The 19,462-nt window shown below is 40.3% G+C and overlaps 1 long non-coding RNA gene across 1 annotated transcript in view, besides 1 other annotated feature; it reads left to right on the forward strand.

Moving 5' to 3' along the window:
• The window catches only part of LOC101927421 (uncharacterized), a 330,904-nt gene that overhangs the window by 136,225 nt on the left and 175,217 nt on the right, over nt 1–19,462 (forward strand). The window lies entirely within an intron of this gene.
• Nucleotides 5,616–5,833: a silencer, noted in NCBI's record as "fragment chr5:124514364-124514581 (GRCh37/hg19 assembly coordinates)". NCBI's record gives its function as "represses an EF-1alpha promoter that drives an FKBP-Casp9 reporter gene in an ReSE screen in K562 erythroleukemia cells {active_cell/tissue: K562}" and the evidence as "EXISTENCE:reporter gene assay evidence [ECO:0000049][PMID:32094911]".

Genomic DNA, 19,462 nt, shown 5'->3' on the forward strand with positions numbered 1-19,462 from the left:
AAAATCCACCATTAAAATGAGGTAAATAATAGCAAACACAAACACTGCAGGTCATGATGTTGAATGCCAATATTCAAGTGAATCAGGAATATTACGGTAGAGCTAATAAACTAGGATAATGATAAAATATACAGGTTGATATAATTCTATATGTCTCTTTTAAGAAATAACTCTTTATAATACATTCTAAATTCAGATTGCAGTTTCCCATCTAGCATGTAAGGCCATGATTTTGGAGCCTTCAGTATCAAAAATAAGAAGACCAGAACAATGACTACCCTAAGAATAATAATGACTATATGAAGGCAATACAAAATGGTTTATCTGCTTTAGCTCCTGTCATTCCCACAGTTTTGTGGGTACATTTTTTTTTTTTCATTAAAAGCAAGGCTAAGTAACTTGCCCAAGGTCATGCAGATAATAGCTAACAGAGTTAACGCTAATTCCACTCAGTAATCTTAATCAGCACTCTAGCATTGTAGCTCAAATTAGAGAACACATAAGCTCCTCTTTTCTATGTGGCCATGGGGTAGTCACTAAATTCGACATGTCAACTACCCCTGGTTCAGTGCTGCTTTGAGGGGACAGTGAGTCTTTGGAGTCCCTTTGTTTTCTGTTGACTGTGAGAGCAGGGACTCGGATTTCAGGGGACTTCGGTTTTACCACCCTCTTCCAGTAGGTCAATGTTGGAGGTGGATAGGGAAGAGGAAAAGTTCAGATCCTTGCACAAGACAGATATGTAGGTACCTCAGTCAGTCTGGCAACATGGGCTTCCAGAAAGACCTTCAAAGTGGCCGAAATGATTGCCTCCCTGTTCTGTGTCCAATTTGCTGAATTGTGTGCATCCAGAGAATACATATGTGGACAAAAGAAATTGACTTCCTGATTCAAAGGAAGATGAACAAGACAGATGCTAAGGAATGTTCTCCCCATTTTTTCTGTAATTGAACATTTTAGTAATCTATCCAGAAGTATTTTTAAAAGTCTTCAGAATCAAAGGCCCCACAAAAATATTTAAAGGAGTTCCAAGTAATTATATCAGTAATCTTCCTGTCCACACAATTCCCAGCTGAGCAAAATTATGATATAAAGTTTGGAGAGCAGAGTTGTGATTTACTGTAGTAGTTACCAAAGAGATCCATCAGGTAAATTGGTAATACAAACAGCCAAATGCTCATCTGGAATTTTATTGTGAATTGACATTTATACAGAATATGTACTCACTTTTTTATTGGGGTACTCTTGAAGTCTAATAGGAAATTGCAAGAAAGCAAGATTTAAAAAAACAACACCCAACAGACACAGCAATGTATTTTATTTTATTTCTGCTGTGGATATTTTAACAGATACCTCAAGCTATTTAAACCTAAGCTTACTTCTCACTCAAGTTTCCTTCCATCTCTCACTTCAATTACCAACTTGCAAAGTTTCATCTCTTCTTCACTCCATTTAAAAATGGTTTGGACATTCAGTTTGAGAAAGAATGCACCAGACAATTAAGGAGATCATTCTTTTCCTGCCCTCTAAGATCTATATCTATTCAGTCAAAAATAGTACTGGCAATTCTACATTCTAAAAGCCTCTCAAATCCATCATTCCTTCCTCATTCTCATTGCCACTGGCTACTTAACTCAGGCCCCAAACACCATTGGCTTGGACTTTTATAACAGTCTCCTATGTCCCTCACTGCTTACATATCTTGAATTTATGTCTTAAATTGCTGCTCCAATTATTTTTCCAAAATCACATATCTAATTATTATAGTTTCCTAGTTACCACACTTTAATGTATTCCCATGACCTAGAGGATAGTCTTAACTTTTAAGCAAGGTATTTAGGCTTCTTTACACTTTGTAACTCTATAGTCCTCATCTTCTGTGGCCCTCTTCAACTACTTGTCCCCAAAAGCCCACTCCTTAGATACCAGCTGTGTTGGGCTGTGCATCTCTCTCTAAATTGGTGACTCTCAAAGTTAAGGGTGCATCAGAATGATGAAGAGAGCTACTAAAACACATCCCCAGAACATCAGATTCAAGAGGCCTGAATTGGGGCCTGACTCTGCATTTCTAACAAGTTTCCATGCAGTGCTGAAGATATTGGTCGGGGGACCACATTTTATGAATCAGTTCTCTAAAGCAAGCCAGATTTTCTATCAGGTGACACTATTTAATTCAGCTCAAAAATCAGAGCTGGGTGTGGTGGCACATGCCTGTAATCCCAGCACTTTGGGAGGCCAAGGCTGGTGAATCTTTTGAGCTCAAGAGTTTGAGACCAGCCTGGGCAATGTGGGGAAACTCCTTCTTTTGTACTTTTGTGCCAGAAGTACAAAAAAAAATTAGCCAGGTGTGGTGGCATGTACTGGTTGTCCCAGCTACTCAGGAGCCTGAGGTGGGATGATCACTTGAGCCTGGGAGCCTGGGAGGCAGAGGTTGCAGTGAGCTGAGATCTCTCCACTGTACTCCACCTTGGATGACAGAGTGAGACACCGTCACACTCACACACACACACACACACACACACAAATGGTTTTTTTTTTTTTTTTTTTTTTTTTTTTGGTGGATCCTGTCTTGACCAGTCCCTAAGTGTACATAGAACTTATTTTTCTTAAGCATTATTTAAAGTACACAAAGTTATGGTTTGTTAATCTGGCTGTCTTCTTCCTTTGAACCCCTTAAGGATAGAGAGTTTATTATATTCACTTTAATATTCCCAGACTTAGCACAGTAGAGAGGAAGTAAATTTCCTTTGCTGAATGAATGAATATTGGCTGTATTATATCTGCATTCCTGACTGGGCCGTTTTCCAGATGTAGAATTGGCCATGCTGTCTGTTAATTTTGAAAGCTGCTGGTACATGTATTTCAGTGACCTTTTGATAACATTTCACATCGCATAACAATTCACCAAAGGGAATTTCAAAGCAATTCGAATCTTACATTCTAATGAACAAAGGAAACATACATGACAGGTAGTCAGAAATCAGTCTGATGAAATTCAATACAACATGAAACAAAAGACTTTAAAATTATGTTGGAAGTTTTATGGGCCCCTGTCTAACATCATTTATTTGCTAAAGGTGTGGCTACCCGATGAAAACATAACTGGGATATTGTGTCAGTTAAGTGAAAAGCATCAGGTGAACGAAAAAGCAGTCAGAACAGTGGCTTGGCAATGTGTTGACTGTAGCTGATTTATTGTTTCACCTTCCACTGGTTTTTCTTTCATTGTGTCAACACAGTTTACAGGGCACATATGGATTTATATGATCCACAGAGATAAGGAAAGAATTCTTAGGGAAGGCTGAACTCTTTTCTTGCTTTTAACTCACAAAAGTCACTGATCCAAAGTCACTGATTGGGCAACAAAGTGCCAAGTAAGGAGTCGGGGCCAAAAATCTTCCATTTGATTGTGTACGTAATAACTGGAACTCTTGCTCAGATTTTCAGAAGAACGTTTCACAACACAGACAGCAAGACCCAGAGGTGTGAAAGAGTGGGACAGACTGGAATGGACTGAGGGTGGGAGATGGAACTGGGTAGGAAAGCTGGTTCCAAATTGTGAGCGGCCTTGCGTGTCATGCCAAGGAGTCTGAATTTGATTCTGCAGGCATTTGGGAGCCACTGACCTAATTCCAGTTTGAGAATTAGAGAAGCTAGGAGCAGAAAGACTAATTATAAGGCTACTGCAAGAGACTGGAACTTGAGCCAATGCAGGGAATTGAGGATGGTCAGAGAAAGAATTTATAAAACTTAATGACCATGTTAGTCAGGGTTCTCCAGAGACACAGAACAAATAGAATGTGTGTGTGTGGGTGAGTGTGTGCGTGTGTGTGTGTGTGTGCGTGTGCACACGTGCATCTGAATTGGTTTACTTGATTATGGAGGCTGGAAAGTCCAAAATTAGCAGGGTAGGCTAACAAACTGGAGACCCAGGGAAGAGTTGATGTTGCAGTTCAAACCTGAACTCTGTCTGCTGGCAGAATTTCTACTTTCCCCTGGGGAGGTCAGTCTGTTGTTCTATTAAGGCTTTTAACTGATTAAATGAGGCCCACCCATATTAGAGAAAGTAATCTGCTTTACTAAAAGCCCACCAATTTAAATGTCAATCTCATCCAAAAAACACCCTCATAGAAACATCCAGAATAGTACTTGACCAAATATCTAGGGCCTGTGGCCCATCCCAACTGACATGTAAAATTAAGCATCACAGTGACCGATTGGATGAAGGGCTTAAGAGTGAAGAAAATAAATAATAGATGGTTCTGCAGTTTTCAGCTTGGATAAATTGAGTGAATGGTGATGCTTTTAACTAAGACAGGATTCCTGAGAAGAGGGCGAAATTTTGGTTAGAGAAGACTTTTTCTTATTCAAGAAGCATTTATTGATCATCAACCTTGCACCAAGCACTAAGTTAAATATTTCTTCTTTTGGTGTAGGAGAGGGAATAAGTACGTAGAAAATACCGTATGAAGAGAAGCCATTGCGTAATGATTCAGCTGTGCTTTAGAGGCAGAGACACTTAAGCTCTGTAACTTGGACCACCTGCTTAACCTGTCCTAGTGTCATTTGCATATATAGTACCTGGCACATAGTAGTTTATCAAGAAATATCTCCAGAATGCTTAGCTATGTTTTTACTGTATTGATTGTTGAAATTAATGTAGAATGCTAAACAAATATGAGACAGATTTTTCCCTGGTGCCATGACAGTGTCAGAGGACATGGTTCCTGGGAGGGTACTAAGTGACTCTGTCTTGTGTTATAGTATGCTTTAGATCCATAGTGGCTTGAAGCAGATAACTCCCAAAGGAACTCTGTTAGAACCAGAGAATAACTCAGGCACTGGTCTCACTAGGGCATATTATTCACTTGTGTAAACAACATTTAAAATACCTAGCAGTGGATATATAATATTTTATTAAAGTTCATAAAGGTCATAAATGAGTTTAAAATCTAGAAAACAAATTCAGTCTTCTTTAAAATTATTTAATTATAGCTGCTAAAATTACATACCGATATCCACATTTATATATATATGAACTCAGCTAATCAGTATGGAAGTAGATTTTACCAGTTGGTGTAATAATTTAGTATACTTTGACTACTCCTTATATGAATAGACACTATAAACTGGATAGATGATGGATGTTTCAAAATAGAGGTAATGTTCTAAAATAAGGGTCAGAAAACTGTGGCCCATGGGCCAAATATGTTTTATCGCCTGTTTTTATCAATAAAGTTTTATTGGAAAACTGCCACACTCATTTGTTTAGTCTTGTCATCTATGGTTGTATTTGCTCTACAATGGTAGAATTGAGTAATAAGAGACCATATGGACGGCAAAGGCTTTACAGAAAATGTTTGCTGACCCCTGCTCTGAAAGGATTTTGGAAAGTTGGCTTTACACTAGAGTTCAAAAAAGTACAGATGCTATAAAGGCCAAGCATAAGGGCAACTGTACATGTTTTATGCTGGTAAGATGGAAAGGAGAATTGGAGGAATGGTGAGACCAGGCAATATAGTTTGGAAGTTTGTCCCTTTGAAATCTCATGTTGAAATGTGATTTCCAATGTTGGAGGTGGGGCCTGGTGGGAGATAATTAGATCATGGAGGTGTATCTCTCAGGAATGGTTTTGCACCATCCTCTTGGTGATAAATGAGTTCAGTTTGTGTAAGATCCGGTTATTTAAAAGAGTCTGGGACCTCCTGCTTTGTTCTCTTTGCTTCCTCTCTCATCATATGATGTGCTGCCTTCCCCTTTGCCTTCCACCATGACTGTAAGCTTCCTGAGGCCTCACCAGAAGCAGATGCCAGCACCCTACTTCCTGTACAGCTTGCAGAACTGTGAGTCAATTAAACATCTTTTCTTTATAAATTACCCAGCCCCAGGTATTACTTTATAGCAAAGCAAGAATGGCCTAATACACTGGGGAAAACTAGAATGTATGAATGGCATCAAAGGACTGTAGCTGATAATCCATTCTTGCTTGTTTTTGCCAAAGAGAAAGGGAAATACAAGCCCCAGCATACCACTTCTTCCAAATTGAGAAAGGAAGCCAGGTTTCCATTTCTTTAATAAAATTTTCAGGTTCGTGTCATTTTCAGAATAAGCCAAAGAGGTCTGGCCGCCACCATTTTGCCACCTTTGGCAGTGGGTCACCTGAGGTCAGGAGTTCGAGACCAGCCTGACCAACATGGTGAAACCCCGTCTCTACTAAAAATACAAAAAATAGCCAGGTGTGGTGGCAGGCACCTGTAATCCCAGCTACTTGGGAGGCTGAGGCAGGAGAATCACTTGAACCCGGGATGCGGACGTTACAGTAAGCCAAGATCACACCATTGCACTCCAACCTGGGCTACAAGAATGAAACTCCATCTCAAAAAAGAAAAAAAAAAAAGAAACTTGGGGAAATACTATTGTGAAACAATAGATAATAGATGGAATGAAAAAAATGATACAGCTGATTCTGATTTTACAGATTTTTTCTTCTTTATGCACAGGCCTCAGTGGCCAGATTGAAACTAGGCAATGTAAAGAATGACAGACAGCATGGAAGGAAAAAAGCACCAGGCACATCCATCAATTTCAACATAAACCCTATCACTTCCAAGGAGATGATGTCTGAAAAGAGGGAGGACAGACATGGCAATGCCTGCAGGAGGCTGAGCAACTGAAAGAAGCAGAAAAAGTGCATTTACCTGAGCTGCCAAATCACAGCAGATGGTGAGATCTGAAGGGAGATAAACATTAAGGCCTGGAAAGCAAGCAATTCATCCTGTCAGCTTTCAAGGGCTGGTACAGCTGAAAGATCAGCCCAAGAACTAGATGGAAACTGTACAACAGTGGTGTTTGACAACAGTGAAGCCTGTCTATCAGATGGATGATGGAGAGGTAACCTGCTGAGGGGAGTGGAATCCCTTTAGCAATGGGAAGCACCCCCAAAACTGCTTGGGGTTAAAGAGCAGAAATTAACCAGATGTGAGAAATTGAAAGAAAATAGGGCGTGCTGTACAGCAAAAACAAATTGGCAGACAAATGAAGTGATAGCTCTCTTCAGGTAGAATACAGAGGAGTGAGATAGGCTTGAGCTAAGAGAGAACCTGTAGGTTCTGGTTTGGTTTGTCTGGTTTCTAGCTCCCAAGGTGACATGGAGGATCTTTAGTTGCTGCCTGAAGCAGCAGGATGATGGAGCTGGGATAGCTGGTTCTGCAGTGTAATTTTGAGAGGCTGCCTCAGTCCTGCCCCGTATTCATTCATTTATTTATTGGTGTGCCCATTGATTCATTTATTTATTGGAGTGATGCTTCTTGCATTTGTTTCATAAATGTCTACTTAGATGAGTGCCTTATTGTGTGTCAGACACTGTCCTTGGTGCTGGAGATAGCACACTGAACAAGACGAATTTCCTTCCTCCTGGAGCATATATATTCTACTAGGGAAGACACCATTTAATAGCTATGTGTTCATTTCTTCATTTTTCTCTTTTATAAAAAGGACATAATCATATTTATATTTACTTATAGGGCACTGTGAGAATTATTGAGAAATTTCTATAAGGCATAGCAGAGAGTCTGTCTGAATTACCATAATTAACATTTTTATATCTGTTTCCCAGGCTCTGTTGATATTATCTTATAAACAGATTTGATGATGCCACTCCCTTCTTTGAAGTCTTTTTATTGTCTAGAGCAGGAGTCAACAAACTTTTTCTGTAAAGGTTTAAATAGTAAATATGTTAGGTTTTGTGGGCCATGCAGTCTCAGTCACAAGTCTTTAATTCTGCCACTGTAGTGCAAAAGCAGCTATAGTCATATGTAAATGAATGTGAGTGACTGTGTTCTAATAAAGCTTAATTACAAAAACAGGTGGTGGGCCAGGATCAGCCCACTGCTGTAGTTGGTCATTCTGATCTAGCCCAGAGCATGAGATTCCAAGTCTTTAGGACTGTATAGCATAAAATCTCATTCCCAGTTATAATTCCATCTAATGATCCTCTATCCCTGTGATTAAAGTAAATAGCTTGATATTTTCTGATTTCATAACATACTTTCTTATCTATCTTTTAATAGTTAATAATGTGCTTATTATAGATAAATAATGCAGAGGTACTTAAAATTGAATGAGAACCTCCTATGCATACTATTGTGTCACTCTAATTTTTCATTCATAAAGATTTCATCTAATACATCATTTCTATATCATTCTTTTAAACGGTTGCTTATTAACCCCTGTACAGATGAATCAGAATTTATTTAACCAGTCACTCTGCCCTTCAAGCTTGCTCACCCTGCACATGTTGCATCTTCTGCCTTAAGAAACTTAATTTGCCTATTTGGCAATCTTCCTGGGCTCAAGAATGAGGTTAAATGTAAGTTTCTCTGTGAAACCTGCCCTTCACTCTCTGGGTAAAATTTACTCTGCTCTCATTTACTTTATATATAATTCCACTATGGCCCTTTAAGAGTCTGGAGTGGAGGGCCATGTGCTAGCTAATAGTGATACATAAAATTTAAATAGTGTTTACTAGGTGCCAGGTGCTTTTTTTTTTTTTCAGTTGGGGGTCTCACTCTGTCACCCAGGCTGGAGAGCAGTAGTGCCATCAAATCTCACTGCAGCCTCGAACTTCTGGGCTCAAGAGATCCTCCTGCCTCAGCCTCTTAAGTAGCTGGGACTACAGTCATGTGGTATCCCATCTGGCTACGTTTTAAATCTTTTTGTAGAGATGGGAGCTCACTGTGTTGCCCAGGCTGGTCTTTAACTCCTGGGCTCATGCAATCCTCCTACCTCAGCCTCCTGAAGTGTGGAGATTACAGGTGTGAACCATCATGCTTAGCTGCCGGGTACTGTTAAAAGCACTTGATCTGCATTAACTACTCCTAAGGAATCTGTTTTCTTGATGCCATGATTGAAGCACCGGTTATGATGTGTTTTACTTTAGTATTCTAAATTTTAAAGAAAGTAAGTTGGTTTTTTTTTTCTGTTACTTGAAAGCAAAGGAATCCTACCTTACACAGTATTCAGGATCTCCCAGCACTGTGCATTGACTCTGGCAGGTGCAATGTAAAAGCTGCCTTGTGGCTTCTTTAGAGAATGAAGCTTCCTGACTGTGGTCATCAGGCCTTAATACTTTCCTATCACCAGGGGCCAGGATAATAATTTGCTCATGGTGGAATCTCAGTAACTATCTTCCTTGTGAGTTAATGACTCAGCTACAGAGATGAGATAATTTACTGAATGGAAAGGGAGTTGGACAACTCAATATCTTTTCTGAGCTCAGTTTCTTTGTCTTCTAAGGGTTTATTGTTTTAACTGCTTTGTTGATGCAAAAGATTAGGGGTGAAGGACATGGTGACATTACAGACTTGAGCACTAACAATTCAAGTTCTAGCCTAAGTTGCAATTTTTCAGAACTCAAGTGCTTAGGAGAGCCTTAATTTAGAATGCAGTTATAATCTACATTATATGAAATTTTAAAAATCTACAGTGATTTTTAAATATTTTTTTTAAAAAGACACCTGGCTTAGGATGTATCCAAGATATTCATAGGTGATAAAGCTCTGTAGAGACCTGGTTTCCTGGCAGCTCATCAATGCCTATTGGCATCCTCCTTTGAACTCCAGTATTCAAATGAACAAAGGTGGCATCCACCACCAAAGAAGTGAAGTCAAATTGAGTATCTCACAGCACCACACATTTCCATGTTGGCGAGAGTGGAGAGTAGTCATTGACTTCTGATTTATTGATAGCTATAGCAATGGATCTCACACAGGCAGTAAGTTAAGGGCAATCCTGCACTCACAACATTGTATTTTATGGCTTCCTTGGCGTGACAGGATAAGCTGATAATAACAACTATTATTCATAAAGCCAGGTACTATGCAAAATGCATTACAAATATTTTCTCCTTTAATCCTGATAACAACACTAGGATGTAGGTATTTTTATCCCTATGTTACAGATGAGTAAATTGAGACCTAGGTTAAGTCTCTTAATTTACTAACGGTCATACTAATAGTGATAGAGTTGCATTTGAGTCTCTCTGACTCCAGGCCCATGTCGTTTCACTGAAGCCATCATGACATGGGAATTCAAATAGAAAAGTTGTTTATGACTCTTTCTGTTTTCTTAAGAGAATCTGGATTCAGTTTCAACTTATACATCATTTAGGAAGGGAATCAGAAACTCCAAGTTGTTATTCTTCAACCCTGTAACCCAAAGCGTTCGATTAATAGAACTAGTGAACATTTTGAGCTATTTATAATAGTATAAACCCTTCTCTCTTCAAGAGCCTGAGGATATGGGAGATTATTGCCTTGTTGAGAAATTCCAGGAATGGGAACAAATAGAGAAAAAGGCAGAAAAAGGAGAACTGCTGAGATATATATTCATTTTCCTCAGTATGAAGGCAATTCACATAATGACTCAGTTATATAACTGATACTGCTTTTGTATGACTTGAGGTCAAATGAATGGTATCCCTAACAATTGCCCGTGTCCCTACAGCCAAGGAGATGCCCCCAGATGCCTAGATATGCATGCCTCAAGAGCACAGTGGAACTTGTAGGGACACATTATGTTTACTGGCTGCCACCCTGGAATTGCCCCAGTGGGTGGAAGAGAGCACGACTTATACTGTCAGTAGCCTCTGTTAGTATAAGGCTTTCAGGAGACAATTCTCCATAGGTGTCTCATGCTTCGGCATACCTTGCCAGCAGAGGCACTATCTTTTCAGGGACACCTGCATAACAAACAGCCATGGAAGATAGAGATGGCATCTCTCTTGAGCTGACGACTGGTTTGCTTATTGTCCAGTATAATATAATGTTTCCCTTGGGGGAAAGGCCCAGGCAGGTTTGCTTGTAGCACATTATAAAAAATATACGAGTTCCCTACACTTAATGTCCCTCAGCCGGGATGCAAACCAACTGTATTCTTATCCCCCTGAAGCAATGTGTCACCTCATGGGCCTTGGAGTGCAAGGGGAATGGCTATGAACAAGAAGCTCATGTGGTTTGCTGTGCTGTGAGTAATGAAGTCCTTTGTTTCTGCCCCAGGAGTCTCATGTCTTTTGCCAGGTTAACTTGTTAGCTTTCAAGCAGGGTAAAATCTCAGGTCCTTCACAGTTCTCAACAAAAGCCTACCAATCTAAAACTCTATAGAGTCCAAGACTGTCTTAGTGTTACATTTAGATAAACACAGCCCAGTAAAGAGCCTTATTCTTTATTATATATCTTGAACAAACTTAAAAAAAATGGTGGTAGTAGTGGTGCATTGCTCATAGCAACTTTTATTAAAACTCTCCTAACTCTTGAAATTCCTGAAGCTTCTCATTTTCCTGGCCTCAAACAAAATCTTTCTTATTCATGTGCCATGTGAGAAGGTAGAGCAAGATGGCAGAATAGGAAGTCCCCTGGATGTCTGCCTTCCACCCCCCACCTGCGAGGACACCAAGTTAACAACTAGCTACACAGAAGAAACACCTTTTATAAGTACTGCAATCTGGCAGTACTCCTCGTGGCCTGGGGTGGTGGTGATTTTTTAAGAATGAAAAATCAGTACTCCTAGTACCTGGTTTTAACTTCATATCATTGAAAGGGGCAATGAGGAGATAAAAAACAGTCCTGAATCACTGATGCGATCCCTCTCCCACCCTGGCAGCCCCTGCATGGTACAGAGATCACCCTGTGTCTCTAAGTAAGCTTGAAAGGCAGTCTAGGCCATAAGGACTGCAACTCTTAGGTGAGTCCTAGGGCTGAATTAGGCCCAATGACAGTGGACTAGGCGGGCACGCGGCATACTGGGACACCAACTGGAGCAGCCAAGGGAGTGCTTGCATCACCCCTCTCCTAACCCCAGGCTGTACAGCTCAGGGCTCCGAAAGAGACTCCTTCCTTCTACATGAGAGAAAGAGCAGGAAAAGTGGGGAGGACTTTGTCTTGCGTATTGGATACCAGCTCAGCCACAGCAGGATAGGACACTGGTCAGAGCTGGGAGGCCCACATTCCAGGCCCTAACTCCCAGACGAGATTTCTAGACACACCCTGAGCCAGAAGGAAATCTGCTGCCTTGAAGGAAAGGACTCAGTCCTGGCAGCATTCATCAACTGCTAACTGAAGAGCCCTGGGTCTTGAATAACCAGCAGCGATATGTCAGGGTACTATGTCAAGGGGCTTGGGTGAGCCTCTGAGACTTGCTGGTTTCAGTTGAGACTCAGCATATTACCAGCTGTGGTGGCTATGGGGCAAAACCTCTTCTGCTTCAGAAAAGCAGAGTGAAAGGTAAAGGAGATTTTGTCTTGCACCTTACATGCCTGCACAGCCACAGCGCAGTAGGGCACCAAGCAAGTGGGCTCTTGGGGTCCTTGATTCCAGGACTTGCCTCTTGGATGGCATTTCTAGACCTGCCCTGGACAGAGGGGAGCTCACTGCCCTGGTGGACTCACCTTAGGGTGAGTCCTAGGCCAGGCAGCATTCATGACAAGATGACTTAAGAGCCCTTGGACTTTGAGGGAACATTGGCAATCTGGCAGTACTCCTCGTGGCCTGGGGTGGTGGTGACTATGGGGTGAGGCCCTTTTGCCTTTGGAAAGGGGAGGGAAGAATGGGAAGGACTGAATCGTGTAGCTTGGGTGCCAGCTCAGCTGCAATACAATAAAACACCAGGTAAACTTCTAAGGTTTTTGACTCTAGTCCCTGACTCCTGGATGGCACTTCTGAACCCATTAGGGGTCTGTGGGACCTTGCTACCCTGAAGGGAAGGACACAGGCCTGGCTGGCTTTGCTACCTGCTGATTGCAGAGCCCCAGGGCCTTGAGTGAATATAGGCAGTAGCCAGGGAATGGTTACAGCAGGACTTGGGCGAGACATAGCACTGTGCTGGCTTCAGGCCTGACCCAGTGCAGTCACAGTGGTGGTGGCCACAGGAGTGCTTGTATCACTCCACCCCCCATGTTAGGTGGGGGGGGGGGGGAGAGAGAGAGAGAGAGAGAGACAGAGAGACTCTGTATGTTTGGGAGAATGTAAGGGAAGGGAACAAGAGTTTTTATCCAATAATCCAGAGAATTCTCCTGGATGTTATCCAAGACCATCTAGGTGGTACCTCTACAGCTCTGCAAGAACCACAGCGTAACTGGACTTGGGGTGCCCCCTAAGGCACATACAGCCTAGATCACAGCACCCAAGTCCTTTCAAATATCTGAAAAGCCTTCCCAAGAAGGACAGCTACAAATAAGCCCAGTGAAGACGACAATACATACCTAACCCTTCAATCCCCAGACAATGAAGAACATCTACTAGCATCAACACCATCCAGGAAAACATGACTTCATCAAACAAACTAAATAAGGTACCAAGAACCAACTCTGGAGAAACAGAGATATGTGACCTTTCAGATAGAGAATTCAAAATAGCTGGGTTGAGGAACTCGAAAAAGTTCAAGATGACACAGAGAAGGAATTCAAAATTTTATCAGATGAATTTAACAAAGAGATTGAAGTAATGAAAAAGAATAATGTGTCACGTTACATACACCTTTTCAGGCATTTGACCCTAATTGTCTATCCTGCATGACACCTACGATTTCATCATATTCCCAGAACAACCCTCCCCACTCTTGCCCCACCCCATACACATCTCAAGCAGCCCCTTAGAGATTGTAGCCTTTCTTATGTTGCACTGGTTTTTCCCTTGAGAATGTGCCTTTGGATTTTGAGTACTTTCTCTCTTGGATTGTGAGAACTTTCTCTCTTCTGAGATGCTAAGTTAGCTATTCCCAAAAGCTTTGTTGTAAACAGAAGAAGAAATGGCCTTGAACTATTTACGTGTAATTAATTTTTATTCTGTCATACCAGCCTGGTATTCAACTCTGCTAACTCTCTAACATCTTGTAACTGATGATGTTATCACCTGATGGTTAAGGGCAACTGTTCTGTGTTTTGATTCTATATTTGGGTTTGCTCCCTAGTTCCACTGGATAGAATTTCTTTCTAATAGCTCATATTCCCATGGAGTTTCTACAAGCTTTCTCAGCTGGTTCGGCAGGACAGTTAATTAGCACAGCCACCTCAGCTGTGCTGACATTGGTTGATGATACCAGTGTAAAACCAGAAATGTTTTGGAATGATAGGCTGTACGAACGGATGCCAAAAGAGCCCTGCTGCCTTTTTCTCTTCTGTTCAAAATATGTTTAATTGTAGCTCTTCTTCCAAAGTACAGATAACGCTAGTGATTAAAAAGAAAAAAAAACAAAACTGGTATGATAGCAAGGCAGATAGGAGATAATCACTGGTCATTAAACAAAATTTATTTCCAAAGAAACAATATAAAGTTGTATGGGTTTGAAAGCACAAAATAATGTTATTTTTATCTTGCATCCAGTTCCACATATGGCAGTCCTGCTGAGCATTGTGACCAGGCAAAGTTGAGGGACTTGTTACAGTGAGTTTATTAGCTGCAATGGGAACTTGTTTTATTTAATCTGTGCCAGGAGGCTATTATATGCAAATCACTAACATGGTACAGAGTTGGTTACAAAGAAAATATCAGGACAGAATGGGGAGATGTCCCCATATTCTACTGGAAGTATCTCAATGGTATCATTTCACACTATTAATTTTTGAAGACATGTTAAAAATTAGCTTTCATAATCTCTCACTAAAAAAATTTTTTGACCGTTTAGATGAAATTAAAGTCATAATGTTTAACTTTCTGGGGAATGTATGCAAGATGTCATTTTGAGAAGTCTCAAAATGGGACCTTTTCCTTAACTAAGCAGTGGGTGATCCCTTGCCCTTAGTCTGGTTTGTTTTGCATTCCTTGGCTTCAGTATATTGGACAAGAGACTGGCACCTGTCCTAAGGGCACCTGACATATGGGCTTTGGCAGAGCACAAGGACAGTAATCAATAGGGGTAGTTTTTGGCAAAAGATGACTGGCCAAATCAGGCATATGATCTCTTTGGACTTTTGAAGGTGATACATTTTGAAAGAATCAGCAGATAGCAGAGTAGCCTAGAAGATGAGTGACACACAGGAAAAAAAGTAAAGCAGCAAAAGCTTTAAGTGCAAGAAATAAAGTCATGTGTGAGAGAAGAAAGTAGAGGGAACTTGACTGATGGTATTAGCAGCAGTGGGTACCTAATTGTAGACAGCTGTCCTCCCATGATGGTGAAGCTCTAGACTAGTAAGCTGTGCACTGACTGGACTGAAAGATTATCAGGAGACCCAGTCACTGTCAGTGTACTTTGCTCAGGGGTTTACTTATGTGACTTTTAGTCCCTACCTCTTTCATGAGGCTTCCTGAGATGTTTTGCCATGTTCCTTTCTTTCTCTCAGTGTTCACAGACTAAACTCCCATGAACTCTGGGTGCCTGAGAATGTCTCTTCTTAGTAATTCAAGAATGCCTGATGAACACAGACCCAGGTCTTTCAAACCACTAATTTGAATCTTAGCTCTACCTTAACTAACAATTATTTTTTGGGTAATTTAGGTAATCACAGAAGCAAGGCAGTCAGCTAAAAATGGATTGGTTTCTACATCTGAGACTGAAGAAGATCAGGCAGAGAGCTATACGCAATTAAATAGTTAAAATAGGACCTATATTTCTCTGGACTTCCAGTGCCAGTTTGGAATTCATGATCATATTTACATGTTTCTAGACAGATGTGTCATGGAATAATTGAAATAGTCCTAAGACGTATTACTAAACTTTAGTTAGGAAGGCCATGCCTTCAGCCTGACATGTGCAAGTACAAATAGTCCATTCAGGGTTGTCATTACAGGGTCTTGCTCTGCTGGTCACATTCAGGTACCACCCATGTCTTGGAGGAAACATGGCTCATTTGTTCTGGGGAAAATGTTACTGCCATTCTCATCAATTCCTCTGTATTCCAAAAAGAAATGAAAGCAGTATTCTGAGTTGAGAAAGCTTTGATGATTTATGATTTAAAGAGGTCAACTAAAAAGACAGTTACGTGTGCATGGAGGTGGGGGAAATAAAGGAGGTGGGACGAGGCCTGGTAAATACGTGTGTATATAAGGTCAAGTCACATTTTCCAGGCCAAGTAGAAATTTTGCAAAGCCAGTGAGCTTTGAAAACTGTGAAGATATTTTTAATAGTTCCCCATGTTTTGCAAACTTTTAAATATCTCAATTACTTAGTCAACTCCAATTAAGTGTACAGAATCCAAATTTTTAATAATTTGTCTCCCAAAGTGTGACATTCATTTTCACCTCATTGATAGATTAATGCCCAATAAATTACCTAAAATTAGAAACCAAACAATATGTAGACATGGCCTGAAAATTGTACTCCTGCCTTACTTTTACAAAATTGTCCAGAAAGTATCCATTAAATGCCTACTATGTACCAGGTGCTGTGCTCCATGCCTTGTGAAGCAAAACTGTAGGAGAAAATCAGGTACCTGCACAGATACAGCAAAGTTTTATTTATCTGCATATTAGTTGTTAATTGTTTGATGAAGAAAGAATCTTTCCAAGTCATTGTGACACACTGCTTTCTGTAACAGCATGGTAGGAGGTCCAGTGGAAAATGAGTCAGACACAATCTCTGACCTCATGGATCTTTTATTCTATTTTCCCTATAACAATAATGACATAACACTGATGATATTGATGAGTCAGAGCTTGCCAAAAAATGGCCTTATTGACTGAGCAGATGAGGAAAATAATGCAACACAGAATGTAGAAGAGTTCTTTGATATGTCTCTCTTTGTTTGGCAAAGGGAGCTATGGAAACTCTGCTTCTGTTCCTGGCATCTACATGTCATTGTGAGTGAGGGTTTTAAAGACCTCTTGCTTCAAAACAACATGCTGACGGCTCAAAGATGGCATGCATATTACCATGTCAAAGACCATTTCATGTTTTCAATGTCTGCTTAAAGACAAACTTTGGCTGACTTCTTATTGAAATTTACTTTTGATCAAAACTTAGATGGATACAATTTTGCATATTTTGGACTGATTTAAATTAACTTTAGAAAGTTGCCATAAATATTTACATGCAGAAAGTCTAGCAACATACACATTTTTAGAAATATTGTTTTTCTATTTTGACTTGGTGAAGGAAAAGTCAGTACTAATGTACAATTAGTCTTACGTGCATTTATCATGGAAGAGGATACATATTTTTAAAAAATCAGATTCCCAGAGGAATCCATGACTCAATGAAAGGTTAAGCTCCTCTGTATGAAATTGGGGACTTTGGAAGACTATTTTGTTTAAAGAAACGTGTTCTCCTATATTTTTCTGTGAGAACTGGCTGTTCAACAAATGTTGACTGAGTGAAAACCACTGTCTCAGAGTAATTACCTAAGGCTTTGCACTTAGAGAACGCATTTCCTTTCATGGACCCAAACTGTTCTACAATGTGACAGGTAATTTGGCGTCGAAACAAAGTGGCAGACCTGTATAAGGCTAGAATGAAGAGAGAGGACTAACTAGTTTATTACAAAACCAGTAAATAAAACTCACTCCATCTGTGAACATTGTAGACATGTGTCTCCTAGTATTGCAAAGTCCTGCTTCAAGAGTATTTATTTATGTGTTGCTTGTTTATTTACTTACCTTTTATGAGACGAGGCATAGCATGCAAGGATGATACTGTTGTGTAAAATTACCACTTGTGAAAGGATGCAAGGCATGCATTTGAGGAAGGTGGGGGATACGGCTCCCCTTACTGGTTTATGCCCTCCTGGGTCTCCTGTTGTTGTCTCAGCCACTCTCTCTTCCACTCTCTTTCTTTCCCTGTGTCCACTGTCTGTTCCTCCTGCTTCTCCCTCCTTCCCTGACTGAGCCCTGTTTTTCTGTTTTCACGTGTTACCACTCTGCCTCCACCTCAGATTACAGGAAAGCCACAGCTCTGGAAATGGCCTGAGGGAGGCACAGGCTCACATTTCATTCGCCTGGAAAGTTAGAATTACAAATTAATCTACAGGAAACAATTGTTTGAGCAATTGAAAACTGATGTGGACAACAGTCCATGCTGTCCTCTTCCAGCGGAGTGATGGAAGGGCTGAAGGCTGCAGTGTGCTCTTTCGAGCACGACCTCACGGAGAACATTCTCCAGTTAGCTTTTTAAAGGGGTTAAGTGAGGTAATTGAAAATGTTTACAGCATTATGCTTCTAATATAGTTACATTCATTTTGGATTTGATGAAATTATCAGCTATTTAACAGCCTTTGGGTTGTTTTGACTGCAACATTTTCATTTATACTTTAATGCAAAAATGCCAACTATAGAATTCCTTTTTGCTAGTGGGGGTGGGGTGGTAAAAAGAAGCTCAGACAACATGATTTATACAAGGCCTGTTCTCGTAAGACACATGCTACTTCTGAGGCTTTAGAAATTAATACTGCATTTAAATTAATTCCTTCCTCCCTCCCACCCTCCCTCCCTCCTCTCAATCCGCTTCCTCTTTCTCTTTCTTCCTTTCACATCTGCTAAAAATATTTGGTCACTTAAAAAAATATCTCAAATCCAATGTATCTTACATCAAAAGAAATAGTTGTCAGTGCAGGCTAATGAGCATTTTTACACCCTTTTGGTCTATTTTGTGTTATTATGTATGACATATCAGCAAGATTTCAAAAAGTGAGGTAAAACTAGTGATTTTATACCAAAAATAGCTTTCCTCATTTTGAGAACATTGAAACTAGGAGTAACAGTTTCTTTCGTAGTTTCCTCAGGGTCCCATTGGAGGGTAGGGCCAGCTCTAGATATGGTGAATTCTAAATTTTGCATCATTAGACTTGATTATGCATTTCATATTTTAGGTAACTTTCATATTAATTTTTTAGTAGCAGCATGTTATTGCTGTTATTACTCTTGGTGATAATTAGCTTCATTTCAATTCTTAATTCAATGCATGGTTAAAAACTGTCTACCATGATATAGAGGGTGCTGTGCTAGATATTATAGTAGTTGGTGGATGAGGAAGACCCAGTCTTGGCCTTGGAAGAGTCATTAGACATAATGTCGAATGTGTAAAATATTCACTCATCCATTTGTTCAGTCAAAATTTACTGAGGGTCCATATGTGAATGACACTGCTCCACGCTGTATATGGAGCACAGATGGTTGAGAAACAACTCTTGCCTTTATAGAGAAAGTGTAAAAGAAAAAAAAAAAAAGCAAACGATTAAATATTTAAAAGAGTAAATAGACACTTGTAAATAGAGTCTGAGTGAAGTGGAGCACTGAGGAAGGAGAGATTATTTACAACAGAAAGATCAGGGAACGTTTCTGTCATAGCCCTGGGAGTAGGGGAACCAGCAGGAGACCAGTGGGTATGGAAGACCACTCCGCTCTCCCCTTAGCATCATGGTGCCATTAGCATGGCCAAACTTGTGTGGAATCCAGTTCCAATATTCTTAGACCTGAAGATGCTCTTGTTTGGCTAGAAGTGAGACAATGTAACTTAGCCTAAGTTCATTATCACCAAACAGCTA

The sequence above is a fragment of the Homo sapiens genome, chromosome 5 (assembly GCF_000001405.40).
Source record: "Homo sapiens chromosome 5, GRCh38.p14 Primary Assembly".
NCBI lineage: Eukaryota > Metazoa > Chordata > Mammalia > Primates > Hominidae > Homo > Homo sapiens.